Source organism: Homo sapiens, chromosome 4 (assembly GCF_000001405.40).
Source record: "Homo sapiens chromosome 4, GRCh38.p14 Primary Assembly".
NCBI classification, from domain to species: domain Eukaryota; kingdom Metazoa; phylum Chordata; class Mammalia; order Primates; family Hominidae; genus Homo; species Homo sapiens.
Genome location: NC_000004.12, coordinates 73,037 through 88,734, shown reverse-complemented (window position 1 = coordinate 88,734; position 15,698 = coordinate 73,037). Strand labels below are relative to the sequence as shown.

The 15,698-nt window shown below is 35.9% G+C and overlaps 1 protein-coding gene across 4 annotated transcripts in view; it reads right to left on the bottom strand.

Annotated features, from left to right (window-relative positions):
• Positions 527-15,698, bottom strand: part of ZNF595 (zinc finger protein 595) — a 34,888-nt gene continuing 19,716 nt past the window's right edge. For 3 of the 4 annotated variants that reach the window (NM_182524.4, NM_001286052.2, NM_001286053.2), the window contains one exon: positions 527-3,004. In NM_182524.4, coding sequence (NP_872330.1) covers positions 1,284-3,004 — 1,721 coding nt within the window. In that variant the 3' untranslated portion in view covers positions 527-1,283. Of the gene's footprint in view, positions 3,005-5,346; positions 5,448-15,698 lie in introns of all 4 variants that reach the window. The other variant, NM_001286054.2, reaches the window with a different exon arrangement.

Below are 15,698 nucleotides of genomic sequence, written 5' to 3'. Positions count from 1 at the left end.
ATGTCAATTATAAAAAGTGAAACAAATAACTAAACGGCTCATATAGGGTTATCCAACTAAAGCAATAAAATGAAATGTCCTAACTAAAATATAACTTAATACACGAATTATGAACTTGCATCTAAATATTTTGTGTTTGCTACTAAATTTTATAAAATTATAATTTCTGACCAGCTCACATAATAAATACTTCATAAAGTAAAAATAAAAAAAATAAGAAAGAAGTCAATTATAGCTCTAGCATGAGTAACAGACAAATAAAAACAGAATTTGCATGGGAGAGTCTCAACAATGATCCGTTAAATTTTACAGTAATAGAAGAAAATATAAATTTGATTTCAGAATGTTTTAGGTTTCTAGATTTCTAGTAAAATATCCACCTTATTAAAATAATCTTTGTTCCAATATTGCTATTTTCCTTGGAAAATAGATACAAACTCTCACAGAAACTCAACTGCTTGCCCCATAATTTTCTTACACCTAAATTTTATCTTTAGAGCAATACATTTACATATTTAACTCCATGTAAATCAAAACCAAAGTCTGCATTTATTTGCGGAAAGAGATGCTACATGTTCAAAGATAAATATGGAACATTTTTTAAAAGCATTCATGACTTAGAAATGTGTGAATTATAATTATACTCATATACTTATTATAATCATAAAATAACCTGTAGTAAAAAAATAATTGCACATTTAAAAATAATTAAAGTGGCCAGGTACGATGGCTCACACCCGTAATCCCAGCACTTTGGGAGGCCGAGGTGGGTGGATCATGAGCTCAGGAGTTCGAGAACAGCCTGGCCAGCATTGTGAAACCCTGTCTCTACTGAAAATACAAAAAATTAGCTGGGCATGGTGGCACCTGCCGGTAGTCACAGCTACTCATGAGGCTGAGGCAGGAGAATTGCTTGAACCCAGCAGGTGGAGGTTGCAGTGAGCCAAGATCGCACCACTGCGCTCCAGCCTGGGCGACAGAACGAGACTCTGTCTCAAAAAAAAAAAAAAAAAAAAAAATTAAAGTGTATAACTGGACTGTGTGTAATACAAAGAACAAATGCTTGTGAAGAATAACTCATTTACTCTGATGTGATAATTACATGTCATATGCCTGTATCAAAATAATCCAAATAAGCCATGAATAGATACACATACTATGTACCTACAGAAATTTTAAAAAATTTAAAATAAGAAAAATAATACAAGTTTATATGGGAGCAATATTCTCCAATTTATTTGCTGTGTAAAGACACTGGAATTAGAGATTACTAGAAATGTCATTCAACTATGTTCCTTGCCAGTATGAATTCGCTTGTGTACAGTAAGGGTTGAGGGCCGATTAAAAGCTTTGCCACATTCTTCACATTTGTAGGATTTCTCTCCAGTATGAATTATCTTATGTTTAGTAAGGGATGAGGACCAATTGAAGGCTTTGCCACATTCTTCACATGTGAAGGGTTTCTCTCCAGTATGAATTCTCTTATGTTTAGTAAGGGTTGAGGATAAGTTATAGGCTTTGCCACATTCTTTGCATTTGTAGGGTTTCTCTCCAGAATGAATTTTCTTATGTTCATTCAGGGCTGTGGACCGAGTAAAGGCTTTGCCACATTCTTCACATTTGTAAAGTTTTTGTTCAGAATGAATGCTCCTGTGTATAATAAGGCCTGAGGATTGGTTAAAAGCTTTGCCACATTCTTTACATTTGTAGGGTTTCTCTCCAGTATGAATATTCTTATGTTCATTCAGGCTTGCGGACCATATGAAAGCTTTGCCACATTCTTCACATTTGTAGGGTTTCTCGCCAGTATGAATTTTCTTATGTTCGTTCAGTGTTGTGGACCGTGTAAAGGCTTTGCCACATTCTTCACATTTGTAAGGTTTTTGCCCAGAATGGATTCTCTTGTGTAATATAAGAGTTGAGGATTGGTTAAAAGCTTTGCCACATTCTTCGCACGTGTAGGGTTTCTCTCCAGTATGAATTCTCTTATGTTTAGCAAGGTGTGAGGACCTATAAAAAGCTTTGCCACATTCTTCACATGTGTAGGGTTTCTCTCCAGTATGAATTCTCTTATGTTTATTAAGGGATGAGGACCAAGTAAAGGCTTTGCCACATTCTTCACATTTGTAAAGTTTTTGTTCAGAATGAATGCTCCTGTGTATAATAAGACTTGAGGATTGGTTAAAAGCTTTGCCACATTTTTCACATGTGTAGGGTTTTTCGCCAGTATGAATATTTTTATGTTCATTCAGGCTCCTGGACTGTCTAAAGGCTTTGCCACATTCTTTACATTTGTAGGGTTTCTCTCCAGTATGAATATTCTTATGTTCATTCAGGCTTGTGGACCATCTAAAGGCTTTGCCACATTCTTTACATTTGTAGGGTTTCTCTCCAGTATGAATTTTCTTGTGTTCATTCAGTGTTGTGGACCTTGTAAAGGCTTTGCCACATTCTTCACATTTGTAGGGTTTCTCTCCAGTATGAATTTTCTTATGTTCGTTCAGAACTGTGGACCGTCTAAAGGCTTTGCCACATTCTTCACATGTGTAGGGTTTCTCTCCAGTATGAATTCTCTTATGTTTACTAAGTGATGTGGACCTATTAAAGGCTTTGCCACATTTTTCACATTTGTAGGGTTTCTCTCCAGCATGAATTCCTGTATGTTGAGTTAGGTGTGACATGTAAAACGATCTGCCACATTCTGTACATTTAAAGGGTTTCTCTCCAGTATGTCTTATCTTATGTTTGTTTGAATTTGAAAATTTACTAAAAACTTTAACACATGTATTACATTGAAATATTTTGCTCTGGGTAGTTGACAAGCACTGGTAAACTCCATTATTAACTCCTTTCTGCACCTTACACTCATTCACACGTTTACAGCCTTTTCTTAATTGTAAATTCTCATGTCCACATTTCTCGTATCTTTTCAGTATAAGTTTGTGGAATGAATCTTCTATCCCCTGCACTGGTGAAAGGTCTTGGCTGAAAGGAGAACATATAGCTGAAAGAAATAAAAATAACAAATTATCCCACTTACTAGATTCATATGAATATACTTTACGAATGTAATATCGAAAATGTATACAAACTGCATTAGTAAGATAGCATAACAAAATATCACAGGCCATAATTTCTTCACAGACATGTAACAAAGATATACAAACCAAAATACCTTTGTGCAAAATCTGTAAATGAGTTAACTGTATGCAACGCCTCAGGTAAGTACAATACTAAGAACCACATGGAACAGGAAGGAAAGTTTGTTATATTTACCCACCACAGCTTTCCTCCTCCCCAATATAGCATTGTGCCTATAGGAGTAAACTGTCAACTCCTGGCTTCTTACTTAGAAGAAAAATACTGATACACATATCCTTACTTCTGGCTTTCTGGGGTCTTTACAAAATCTGGTTTCTGTCTCCAACAACACAGAGAGCTGAGAGAAACGGTGCTATACTTTGGAAGAACAGCTTGGGTCTGCTAAGACCAAACGTAAATGTTTCAGGAGCAGGCTGCAGTGTTAAATACAGGGAATAGGTAGAAGAGTGACTAGAGACCATAAGAAGAAACATGAATAATCCCTTTTCACTGAAAAACAAACACAAAATTCCAGACAAGACACATCCTTAGAACATGTATGAGAGGCTCCCATTATCTCTATCAAAGACAACAGGTTTCAGACTATGTCAGGACAAGGCAACACTGTAAAGATTGTGACAAATACCTTTTTGTTAATGTTCAAATAACAAACAGATGTTACAATATATACAAAATATTAGGGCAACATGGCCCAATTAAAAAATTTAAAACTTTTCAGAAAACAACCATAAGAAATGAAGATGTAGAAATTTTAAAAAATTAACCTGAAAAATCCTCAATGAGCTAAAGGGGAACACATACAACTAAATATAATAAGACAAATGAGGTATCGATGAAAACGTTAAAATATAAAAAACAAATTGTGGATGTGAAAAATACAAAAGTAATGAGTGAGAAAGTTCCAAAAGTAAAATAAGGATGTAAAAAATGAAGAAGCTCAACAAACTTCAACTAGGATACATACACAGAGATTTATATAAGCAAAGTTTCAAAAGTCAAAGACAGAGAATCTTAGGAGTTGCAAGATAAAAGTGATGTGTCATTTATAAGTGTGGTCTTACATAACCAGTGAATCTGTCAACAAAATTTTTTTAGACAAGAGGGAATTGTGATATAGTTAAAATGCTGAAAGAAAGCTTGTAAGCAGGAATACCATAACATGCAAAACTGTCCTAAAAATGAAGAAAAAGTAAAGCTCTTTCAAGATAACCAAATGTTGAAAAAGTGTATTAGCACAACACCTGCCTTAGAAAAGAAATGCTGAAGAAAGTATCTTCCACTGAAAATAATATGATGCAAGAAAACAAAACATAATCATATGAAAATAAGTAACTTTTTGGGAAAGACATGAACATATACAAATGTAAGGTTCTGTACCATTATCATGATAGTGCAGAAAACATTTTAATTATTCTCTAAAATTTTAAAGAGCATAAAAATGATCATAAACTGTTCATCATAATCTGTTAATAAATAAGCAACATAAAAATATAATTAGTGACATTAATAACAAAGTTGAGGGCAGATGTAATGAGGAAGAATTTTCAAACGCAACTGAAATAACCAGTTTAAAATGTATTATTTTAAGAAATTTTATGTAATTTCCAAAATACCAAAAAGTAAGTATCTGTATGGATACATGAAAAAATAAGTAAAAATCTATCAACACAAAAGTCAAAAGGAAGACAGAAAAGAAAATAAGGGACAAAAATACAATAATCAAGTAAAACAATTAATAAAATAACATGAATAAAATAAGAAGTAAAAATCTATCCACACAAAAGTCAAAAGGAAGACAGAAAAGAAAATAAGGGACAAAAATACAATAATCAAGTAAAACAATTAATAAAATAACATGAATAAGCCTTTCCATTTCAGCAAATTATTTAAATATTTATGAAGTAATCTTTGCATTGGAAATACATGCAAATAAATTTATTTAAGAAATCAAAAAACAAGATACAACTTGTTTTTCTTTCTTTCTTTCTTTTTTTTTTTTTTTTTTTTTTTTTTGAGACGGAGTCTCACTCTGTCACCCAGGCTGGAGTGCAGTGGCGTGATCTCGGCTCACTGCAAGCTCTGCCTCCTGGGTTCACACCATTCTTCCACCTTGGCCTCCTGAGTAGCTGGGACTACAGGTACCCGCCACCACGCCCGGCTAATTTTGTTTTTGTATTTTTAGTAGAGACGGGGTTTCACCATGTTAGCCAGTGATCTCAATCTCCTGACCTCGTGACCACCCACCTCGGCCTTCCAAAGTGCTGGGATTACAGGCGTGAGCCACTACACCCAGCCACAACTTGCTTTTTCACAAGAGTCACTTGAGATCTAATGATTAAAGGAGACTGAAAAAGGCAAGATGAAAGAAAAAACTTTATGCAAAGAACCAAACAGAAGAGGTCAAAATTATATTACCCAAAGTACATCTAAAGTCAAAAACTCCCATTTCATAAAACTTATTTTAACTAAAAGCTCATAAGAGACAAAGAAGAACATAAACTATATTAAAAATGTTCATTTACTAGGAAACCCTGAAAAATGTGTGTATATACATATATTTGTGTGTGTGTGTGTATGTGTGTCTTACATTAGGGTTCCAAATATATAAAGCAAATACTGACAGAAGTAAAGCAAGACATAGAGAGCAATATAATTATAGTAGGATATTTCAATAGCTCAATTTCTGTAATGAATAATCAGAAAAGAATACTCAAGGAAATAGAAGACTTCAAAGCAGTATAAAACAATTATGTCTAATAGAATTGTAGAGAACTCTTAAACAAAAGCAGAATACATACCCATCTGAATAGCTCATAAAATATTCTCCTTGATAGACCACCTGTTAGGCTACAAAAAAGTCTTAACAAATTTTTTAAAATAGGAACTTTACAGATTACTTTTAATGACCAAACTGGAATGAGAATAGAAATTAATTAAAAAAAGAAAACTGGCTGGGTGCAGTGGCTCATGCCTGTAATCCAAGCACTTTGGGAGGCCAAGGCAAGCAGATCACTTGAGGTCATTAGTTCGAGACCAGCCTGACCAACATGGAGAAACCCCATCTCTACCAAAATTACAAAATTAGCCAGGTGTGGTGGTGCATGCCTGTAATCCCAGCTACTCGACAGGCTGAGGCAGGAGAATCGCTTGAACCTGGGAGGCAGAGGGTTGTGGTGAGCTGAGATCACGCTGTTGCACTCCAGCTTGGGCAACAAGAGTGAAACTCCATCTCAAAAAAAAAAAAAAAAAAAAAAAAAAAACCACAAACCAAAAAAATGGACTTTTGTAGAAATTAAACAACACAAACTTTAGCATGCTCTTGTTCAAAGTTTCAAATATGAAGATATCTGGACTGTTCGATGTAATCTACAGATTAAATGCAATCTCTGTCACATTTTTAATTAAATTTTTGCAGAAATAGAAATAGCAACCCCCAAATTATAGGGAATTTCAAGGGACAATGAAGCACCCCACAATCTTCAAAAAGAGAAACATGTTGGAAGCACCACAGCTCATGATATCAAAACATATACAAAGCTAAAGAACTTAAAAAATTTAGTATGGGTATACAGGTGAACAGCTAGATCAATAAAATAAAATCCAGGAAAAATACACACTCTTACACATATGGTCAGATGAAGAGTAATTTCTACACTCATAATTATTGTAGCATTGTTAGTGAAAGCAAATAAATGAAAGCAATGCAAATTTCTCACCAAATAAATGAATAAATTAAAAATATTAAAATATTACTCCACCTTGTAAAAAGCAAAAAATATCACAAGTATAATAAAGATAAATCTTGATGACATTGTGCAACATGAAGTAAGTCAACCATGAAGAGAAACTGTATGAATCAACTCACATGAGATATCTAAAGCAGTTTGACTCTAAAACAGAAAACAGAATTGTTTTTGTAAAGGGCCAGAAAACAGAAAAGGTAGTCAGTTGTTTAATGTGTACTGAGTGTTAGCTTTGCAAGATAAACATATGCTAGAGATACAGTGAGTAACAATGTCAATATAATTAATATGACTAAGCTGAATATTTAAAAATATTTAAGATTGTAAAGTTTATGTGTTGACAATCAAAAATAATATCTAAAACAGATACAGTGGTAAGACGGTTTTTGAAATTATCTTCAAATCACAAAAGTGTGTCTCCCACACATAGAAAAACATAGATTTATAAATAAATGGAGGGTAAAATCAGAAGAATTTCAATGACTACTCACCTAGGCAGGGTAAAATCACCATTGTATACAAACAGAACAAGTATACAACTTATAAACAATAAGGAACAATATGCATACAGATAAACAGAGACTCTTATATTGGAAATACACATCACTGACCTATATTTGATTTGTGCCCCATACTTAGTGTACACAGTGAAATATTGTAGTACACAATTATAATGTAAAATGAAAACATCCTAAGTTTTCTGCTCTTGCAGCCATAAAAAAGAATGAGTTCACGTCCTTTGCAGGGACATGCATGAAGCTGGAAACCATCATTCTCAGCAAACAAACACAGGAACAGAAAACCAAACACCACATGTTCTCATTCATAAGTGGGAGTTGAACAATGAGAACACATGGACACAGGGAAGGAACATCACACACCGGGGCCTGTCAGAGGGGGTGGGGGGCAATAGGAGGGAGAGCATTAGGACAAATACCTAATGAGTGCGGGGCTTAAAACCTAGATGATGGGTTGATAGGTGCAGCAAACCACCATGGCGCATGTATACTTATGTAACAAACCTGCACATTCTGCACATGTATCCCAGAACTTAAATTGTCAGGCCTCTGAGCCCAAGCCTGCACGTGTACATCCAGATGGCCTGAGGCAACTGAAGAACCACAAAAGAAGTGAAAATGGCTGCTTCCTGCCTTAACTGATGACATTACCTTGTGAAATTCCTTCTCCTGGCTCAGAAGCTCCCCAACTGAGCACCTTGTGACCCCTGTCCCTGCCTGCCAGAGAACAACCCCTTTGACTGTAATTTTCCATTACCTACCCAAATCCTATAAAACTGCCCCACCCCTATCTCCCTTCGCTGACTCTCTTTTTTGGACTCAGCTCGTCTGCACCCAGGTGATTAAAAAGCTTTACTGCTCACACAAAGCCCGTTTGGTGGTCTTTTCACACGGATGCGCATGACAAAAATAAAAAAATGAAAAATAAAATTTTCTCTTTCCTGTCCAGTATGATATCAGCCATTGACTTGTCATATATGGCCTTTATTGTGTTGAGGTATATACCATCTATATCTAATTTGTTGAGTTTTTTAAGTCACAAAGACATGCTCAAGCAGGGCGCGGTGGCGCACGCCTATAATCCCAGCACTTTGGGAGGCCGAGGCGGGTGGATCACCTGAGGTCAGGAGTTTGAGACCAGCCTCAACATGAAGAAACCCCATCTCTACTAAAAATACAAAATTAGCCGGGCATGGTGGTGCATGCCTATAATCCCAGCTACTTGGGAGGCTGAAGCAGAAGAATTGCTTGAACCTGGGAGGCGGAGGTTGCAGTGAGCTGAGATCATGCCATTGCACTCCAGCCTGGGCAACAAGAGTGAAACTTCGTCTCAAGAAAAAAAAAGACATATTCAATTTTGCCCAATGCTGCTTCTGCATCCACACCATTCACACTAAAAAATAAAGATGTCTAGCAGCAAACAATTAAAAAGGTGAACATTCTAAACTGAAAATTATAAAACATTGGCAAGAAACTGAAAAAGACATGAAAATTTGAAAAACATTTTTTTGCTTATGAATTGAAATAATATTTAAAAAGTGGTTATACTACAGGATCAATGAAATCTCTATCAAAATACCAATGACTTTTTTCAAAGAAATGAAAAAAAAAACTAGCTTAAAATTTATAGGGAACAACCAAAGACCCCCAAATACCCAAAGTAATCCTGAGCAAAAGAAAAGAAAAAAAAAAAAAACAACAAAGCTGGAGATACTGCACTACCTGATTCGAAAATATACTATAAAGCTATAATAAGCAAAACAGCAAAATATTGGCATAAAAACAGACAAAGAGATCAAAGTATCCAGTGAGCCCAGTAACAAATTCATGAGCCTACAGCCAAGTGATTTTTAACAAAGATGTCCAGAACACACAGCTGGAAAAAGACAGTCTTTTCAATAAATAGTGCTAGAAATATTAATTACCCACATGATAAAGCAGGACTTCAAATAGATATTTACACATGCATGTTCATTCATTGTTATTTACAAAAGACAATTCCTGGAAACAGCACAAATGTCCCTTTAGAGATCAGTATCAGATTTTAAAAATGTGACATATACATACAATTACATATTATTTCATTTTAAAACAGAAGGATATTCTGACACATCTTACAAAACAAAGCCTGAGAACATTACCTTAAATAAAATGAGAGTCAAACAGAAACAGACATTATATAATTACACTGAGAAGAATTATAAAATTATAGAAAGAGTAAGTAAAATGGTGTTCTTCAGGAGCTGAAGAGAAAAAAAGGGCAACTTATTGTTTATAAGGTATTAAATTTTACTTTTGTAAGGTAAAATTAATCTAGAGATCCATTGCAAAATAAAGTAAATGTACTTAACACCACTGGACCGTATACTTGAAAATGTTGGCCGGGGGTGGTGGCCCATGCCTGTAATCCCAGCACTTTCGGAGGCCGAGGCGAGTGGATTACCTGAGGTCAGGAGTTCAAGACCAGCCTGACCAACTTGGAGAAACCATGTCTCTACTGAAAATACAAAATTAGCCGGGCATGGTGGTGCATTCCTGTAATCCCAGCTACTCAGGAGGCTGATGCAGGAGGCTGCGGTAAGCTGAGATCGCACCACTGCACTCCAGCTTGGGCAACAAGAGCAAAACTCTGTCTCAAAAAAGAAAGAAAGAAAGAAAATGTTTAAGTTAGCAATTTTAAGTTTTTAATCACAATTAGATATTTACATCTACCTAAAAAGGTTTCATTTTTCAAAAATCACCTTCAAATAACAAAACTGTTTCTCTCACAGAACATATAATCGAATAGGTGGCAATTTTACAGTTTCTTTGATTACTCACGTACACAAGAAAACACTGGTGACCACTCAAGTGAATAAATAATTTACGAACAAAGTAGGGGCAATATTTATACATGCAAATACCACACAGATAACTTTTATAGGCAATAGAAATATCTGATTTATATGTACATTTTAATTTGCTCAAAGTGAAACCCAATGATTTTTATTTGAATTAAATACCACAGGGTCATAAAAGGTACAGAGTTTAAAATTACCAGGCAAACAGAAAGATTAAAACAAAAGGTCGGGCGCGGTGGCTCACGCCTGTAATCTGAGGACTCTGGGAGGCCCAGGTGGGTGGATCACGAGGTCAGGAGATCGAGACCATCCTGGCTAACACGGTGAAACCCCATCTCTACTAAACATACAAAAAATTAGCCGGACGTGGCCGCGGACGCCTGTAGTCCCAGCTACTCGGGAGGCTGAGACAGGAGAATGGCGTGAACCAGGAAGGCGGAGCTTACAGTGAGCCGAGATCGCGCCACTGCACTCCAGCCTGGGAGACAGAGCAAGACTCCGTCTCAAAAAACAAACAAACAAACAAACAAAAAACCCTGAAGACTTTGGTCTCAGCTGTGTATCCTGAAGCAGCCCTATGAATCAGTTCCACACCCTCACAGCTGTGTTCAAGGGTCAGTACTGCTCATCTAGGAGCCTGTCCAATGACCAGGTTAGAGCATTTTGAAACATCCAGCAAGAGCCACACATCAGGAGCCACACCTGCTCACATTTATATTGTATCAGCACCCCCATCTGCATATATAATTGGATTTTTTTTTGTCTCAGGCCAGTCTTATTGATAAAGTTCTTGAAGAAAGTCTAGTCTTTCCAGAAAATAGAATCCACAACTGTCTGATGGCCTGATAACAGGTCTGCCAAACATGAACTTCACTGCAGACATAGTAGTAGTTATGTGACCTGGCTCCAAAGCATTTAATTGCAATCTCAGTGGAAATATCATCAGCCCAGAGATCAAACAGGAGAAGTATTTACCTCCCAACTAGTCTGTAATGACTGAAAGAGGTATTTGCTCCTTCAGATGCAAGGACATCAAAATAAGGCTTCACAGATAATAAAGGATCAGGCAAACATACCACCACCAAAGGAACCTGAAAATTTTCCAGTAACCACTTACAATAAAACACAGATCTAAAAAATGGCTAAGAAGTCAAAATAATTATCTTAAGGAATGTCAATGAGATGAAAAAAATACTAATTTTTTTTTTTGCAAGAACACATGAACAAAATTACAATTATAGCAAAGAAAGAGAACCAAATGGATATGCTGGAGCTGAAGAACGCAATATATAATAAAAAATTTTAGAGAAAGCTTTAACAGGAGACAGTTATACAGAAAAAAAGTCAGCAAAGTTAAAATTAAGTCATTTGACAGTTCCTAATTTAAAAAAAAAAAGAATGAAAGAGTGAATAAAGCATTTGGGCCACATACTGCATAATAAACTGTAAAAATGTACATATTTTAGCATGTTCAGGGTAGAGAGAGAAAAATCTTAAAAATTTGTTTAAAGATAATGTCCTAAATTTTTCTCAATCTTAGAAGGAATACAGACATTCAGTTTTATGAAGCTTAAAATGTCTATAGCAGAAGGAACTAATAACAATTGCCCAGAACACATAATTGAACTGCCAAAATTCAAAGACAAAGAGAGATTCTTAAAAGAAGCAAGAGAAAAGAAATTTTTCTCATACAAGGGAACCCCTATAAGGTTATCAGCAAATTGCTCAGCAGAAACCATGCAAGCCAGATAGGAGTGAGATCATATATTTAAAGTGCAGATGAAGAGAGAAAATGAAAAAAATTTGACAACGAAGAAGAGTATACCTGACAAAACTGTTCTTTAGAAATGAAATATGAATCGAGATATTCTCAGATTAAACAAGTTGAGGAAATTTATAATCATTTGACCTTACAAGAAATGCTAATAAGAATTTTTCAAGTTGTAATAACGGACTTCTAATTTACAACAAGAAAACATATAAAAGTATAAATCTTACTGGAAAAAAATATATATAGTCAAATATAGAAGGCTATAAAACTGTAATTATGGTACATAAATCCCTTTTAACTCTGGTATAAAAGTTACAAAAAAGTATTAAAATATATATAGCCTCAATAATTTGTTAATGGGTATACAATATAAAAAATTATGTAAAGTATGACATAAATAGTGTGTTGAAGGGAGTACAACTGCTTGATTTTTCTACACACATAAGTTAACTTTTGCTTGAGGCCAGGAGGTCAAAACCAGCCTGCTCAATATAGCAGGACCGTGTCTCTAAAATAAATACATAAAATAAAATACGGATCTCAGAAAGCTATTTACTTAAAACAAGTGGCTGGGTCTGATGGCTTATGCTGATAATCCTAGCACTTTGGGAAGCCAAAGCAGGTGAATTGTTTGAGCCTAGAAGTTCAAGAGCAGCCTGAGCAACATGGCAAAACCCTATCTCTACAAAAAATACTGACAAAATTAGCCGGACATGGTGGCATGTACTTGTAATCCTAGCTACTCAGGAGGCTGCGACTGGAGAATTGCTTGAGCCTGGGGAGGTCAAGGCTGCACTGAGCTGTGAATGCACCATTGCACTACAGCCTGGGTTAGAAAGCAAGACCCTATCTGTATAAAACAGAAAGTTAAATTGTTATCTTAAACTAGATTTTATAACTGTGAGATGTTTTATGTAAGTCTCTTGGAAATTCTAAAAAAAAAAAAACAACCAAAAAACCCCCCAAAAATCTGTAGTAGATACATACAAAAGAAAAAGAATGAAAGCATCTAACAAAAACAAAACAGAACTCAAGAAAACACAAGGGAAGACAGCATGTAAGAATTACAAAACAGAAACTACTAAATGGTCAGAAAACAATGAACAAAATGGCAGTAATAAGTTCTTACCAATCAGTAATTCTTTTAAAAATATATAAAGATTTAGTTATCCAATGAAAACACATTGCTATGGTTTGAGAGTCCTCTCCAAAATTCATGTTAAAATTTAACTGCCATTGTGAGAAAATTAAGTGAGACCCTTAAGTTATTAGGTCATGACAGCTCTACTCTCACGAAAGGATTAGTATCAGTATTTCAACAGTGGGTTAGTCATGATGAGAGTGGGTCTATTATAAAAGTGAGCTCTGGTGTACACCTTCTGTCATCCTCAAGCCTTCAGTCATGTTGTGATGTGGAAGTATGATTCTCATCAGATGGGAATGGCATGCTCTTGGACTTCCTGGCATCCAGGATTGTGCGCTAAGCAAACTTTTATTCTTTATAAATTACCAACTCTAGGATATTGTTATTGAAGCAAAAAATAAAGCATTTACAAAATGTTTGAATAGATTTATAAAATCAACCATATGCTGCACACAAGAGACTTAGAGTTAAGGACACACATACGTTAATAGTCCAAGGATGAAAAAGAATATTCCATGTCAATAATAACTAAAAGAGTGTAGCAGTGGCCGTATCAGACAAAAGAGATTTCTAGGAAAAAAAAAATCTGTCATGAAAAAAAGATCTTCACTATATGGTAATAAAAGGCTAATTTGTCAAAATAATATAACAAATAAAAATATATACATACCCAATATAGAAGCACATAAATATATTGTAAAAGGAAAATAAATTTTGGGGCCTCCAAATCACTAAGCTAAAGGGAAAAGTCAAGCTGGGAATTGCTTAGTGCCAACCTGCCTCCCATTCTATTCAGTCACCTCTCCGCCACTGACACAGATGTGAATCTGATTGCCTCCTTTGGAGAGGCTAATCAGAAACTCAAAAGAATGCAATCATTTGTCTCTTATCTACCTATGACCTGGAAGCCCCCTCCTCACTTCCAGTCTTCCCATCTTTGCTTCAAGTTGTCCCACCTTTCCAGACCGAATCAATGTACTTCTTACATATATCGATTGCTGCCTTATGTCTCCTTAAAATGTATAAAATTAAGTTGTTCCCCGACCACCTGGGGCACATGTCTCCAGGACTTCCTGCCACAGATGTGTGTCCTCAACCTTGGCAAAATAAACTTTCTAAATTAACTGAGACCTGTCTCAAAAATATGAACATATATTAACAGATGTAGAAAAACAGACAAATATGATAATACTAGGGAACTTTATTGCCCTACTTAATACAACACATCATTCAGACAGAAAACAATGTACTTGCATAGCACTAAAGAACTACACCTAAAAGACATATATAGGTAACATTTCACCCAACAGTATAACTTATATTCTTCTCAAACACACATGGAACATTCTCCAGGATACATCATAAATCTGGAGAGCCTCAACATCCCAGCCTTCAAGTGATCCTCTTGCCTCAGCCCCAGCTGGGACTACAGGTATGCACCACCTTGCCAAGCTAATTTTTTTTTATTTTTGGTAGACATAAGATTTCACCATATTGCCCAGGCTGGTGTCGAACCCCTGAGCTCAAGCGATCTGCCCTCTGTGGCCTCCCAAAGTATTAGGATTACAGGTGTGAGCCACCGCACCTGGTCTGATATCTTTATTCTAACACCAAATATATGGAGTTTGCTGAACACCAACCAAACTTCTATCACCAACTGGGTGTCCAACAACTCAATTCTGACAACACCACGGTCAGCACAGACCCCACCGTCTCAGGGCTCAGTTCCACAATATTGCTTCCCTCCACATGCCAGTCACAAGCCCCAAGGACCCATCTATACTTCAGAGCAACTGTCTATAAATCATGGGCTTCCAGAACTCCCTCCCTCAAGTTAAAGGATTTGATAAAACTACTCACAGAACTTAATGAAAAAACTTTACCTATGTTTACCAGATTACTAATATTGGATACAATTCAGTAAAAGCCAAAGGGAAAAAATATATAGGACAAAAGAAAGTGCGGGAAAAGAGGAGGTGGGTTAGTGAATCTTGGTAGTTATAACTATGGTCTCTCCAATCCTTTGTGCCCTATCAAAAAAGCTTACTGCTAATAAATCACCTTTTCATTGACTTTGATGATGCTCCCTCTTTAGATATCTCAAATTCACCGATTCTAAATTCTCATTTTTCCCTCATAAACAAATAATTTTGTCTTCAGTGTTCAGAACAGAATACTTGTTAACCAAACTTTGCTTAAGTTTCTCTCCTTTACCCAGGCCCCTGGACTCTGCTCCACCTTCAGTCTGAGATAGCATACAACCCCTCTTCATGTCCCTCCCAAGAACAGGTTGACGTCAGGGTGAAACATTCTCCAATCCTGAATCTGATTTTGCCATTCTCCATTCTGCTCTCTCCCTCACACCTACTTTCTAATCTTGTTTGCTCCTCCGTATGACAAATAGCCCTTTTCTGCCTCATTTTGGAGATGCTTGCAGGTCTTATGCTTGGTGCTTTCCCCAATGCAATATTCCTCAGAATAAAGTCACTTCTTACCTCATTGGAATTTATTTGACAATATCTAGGAAGAGCCCCATGACAGTAACAATTACACCCTCTCAGAGGACATCACAAACAACCT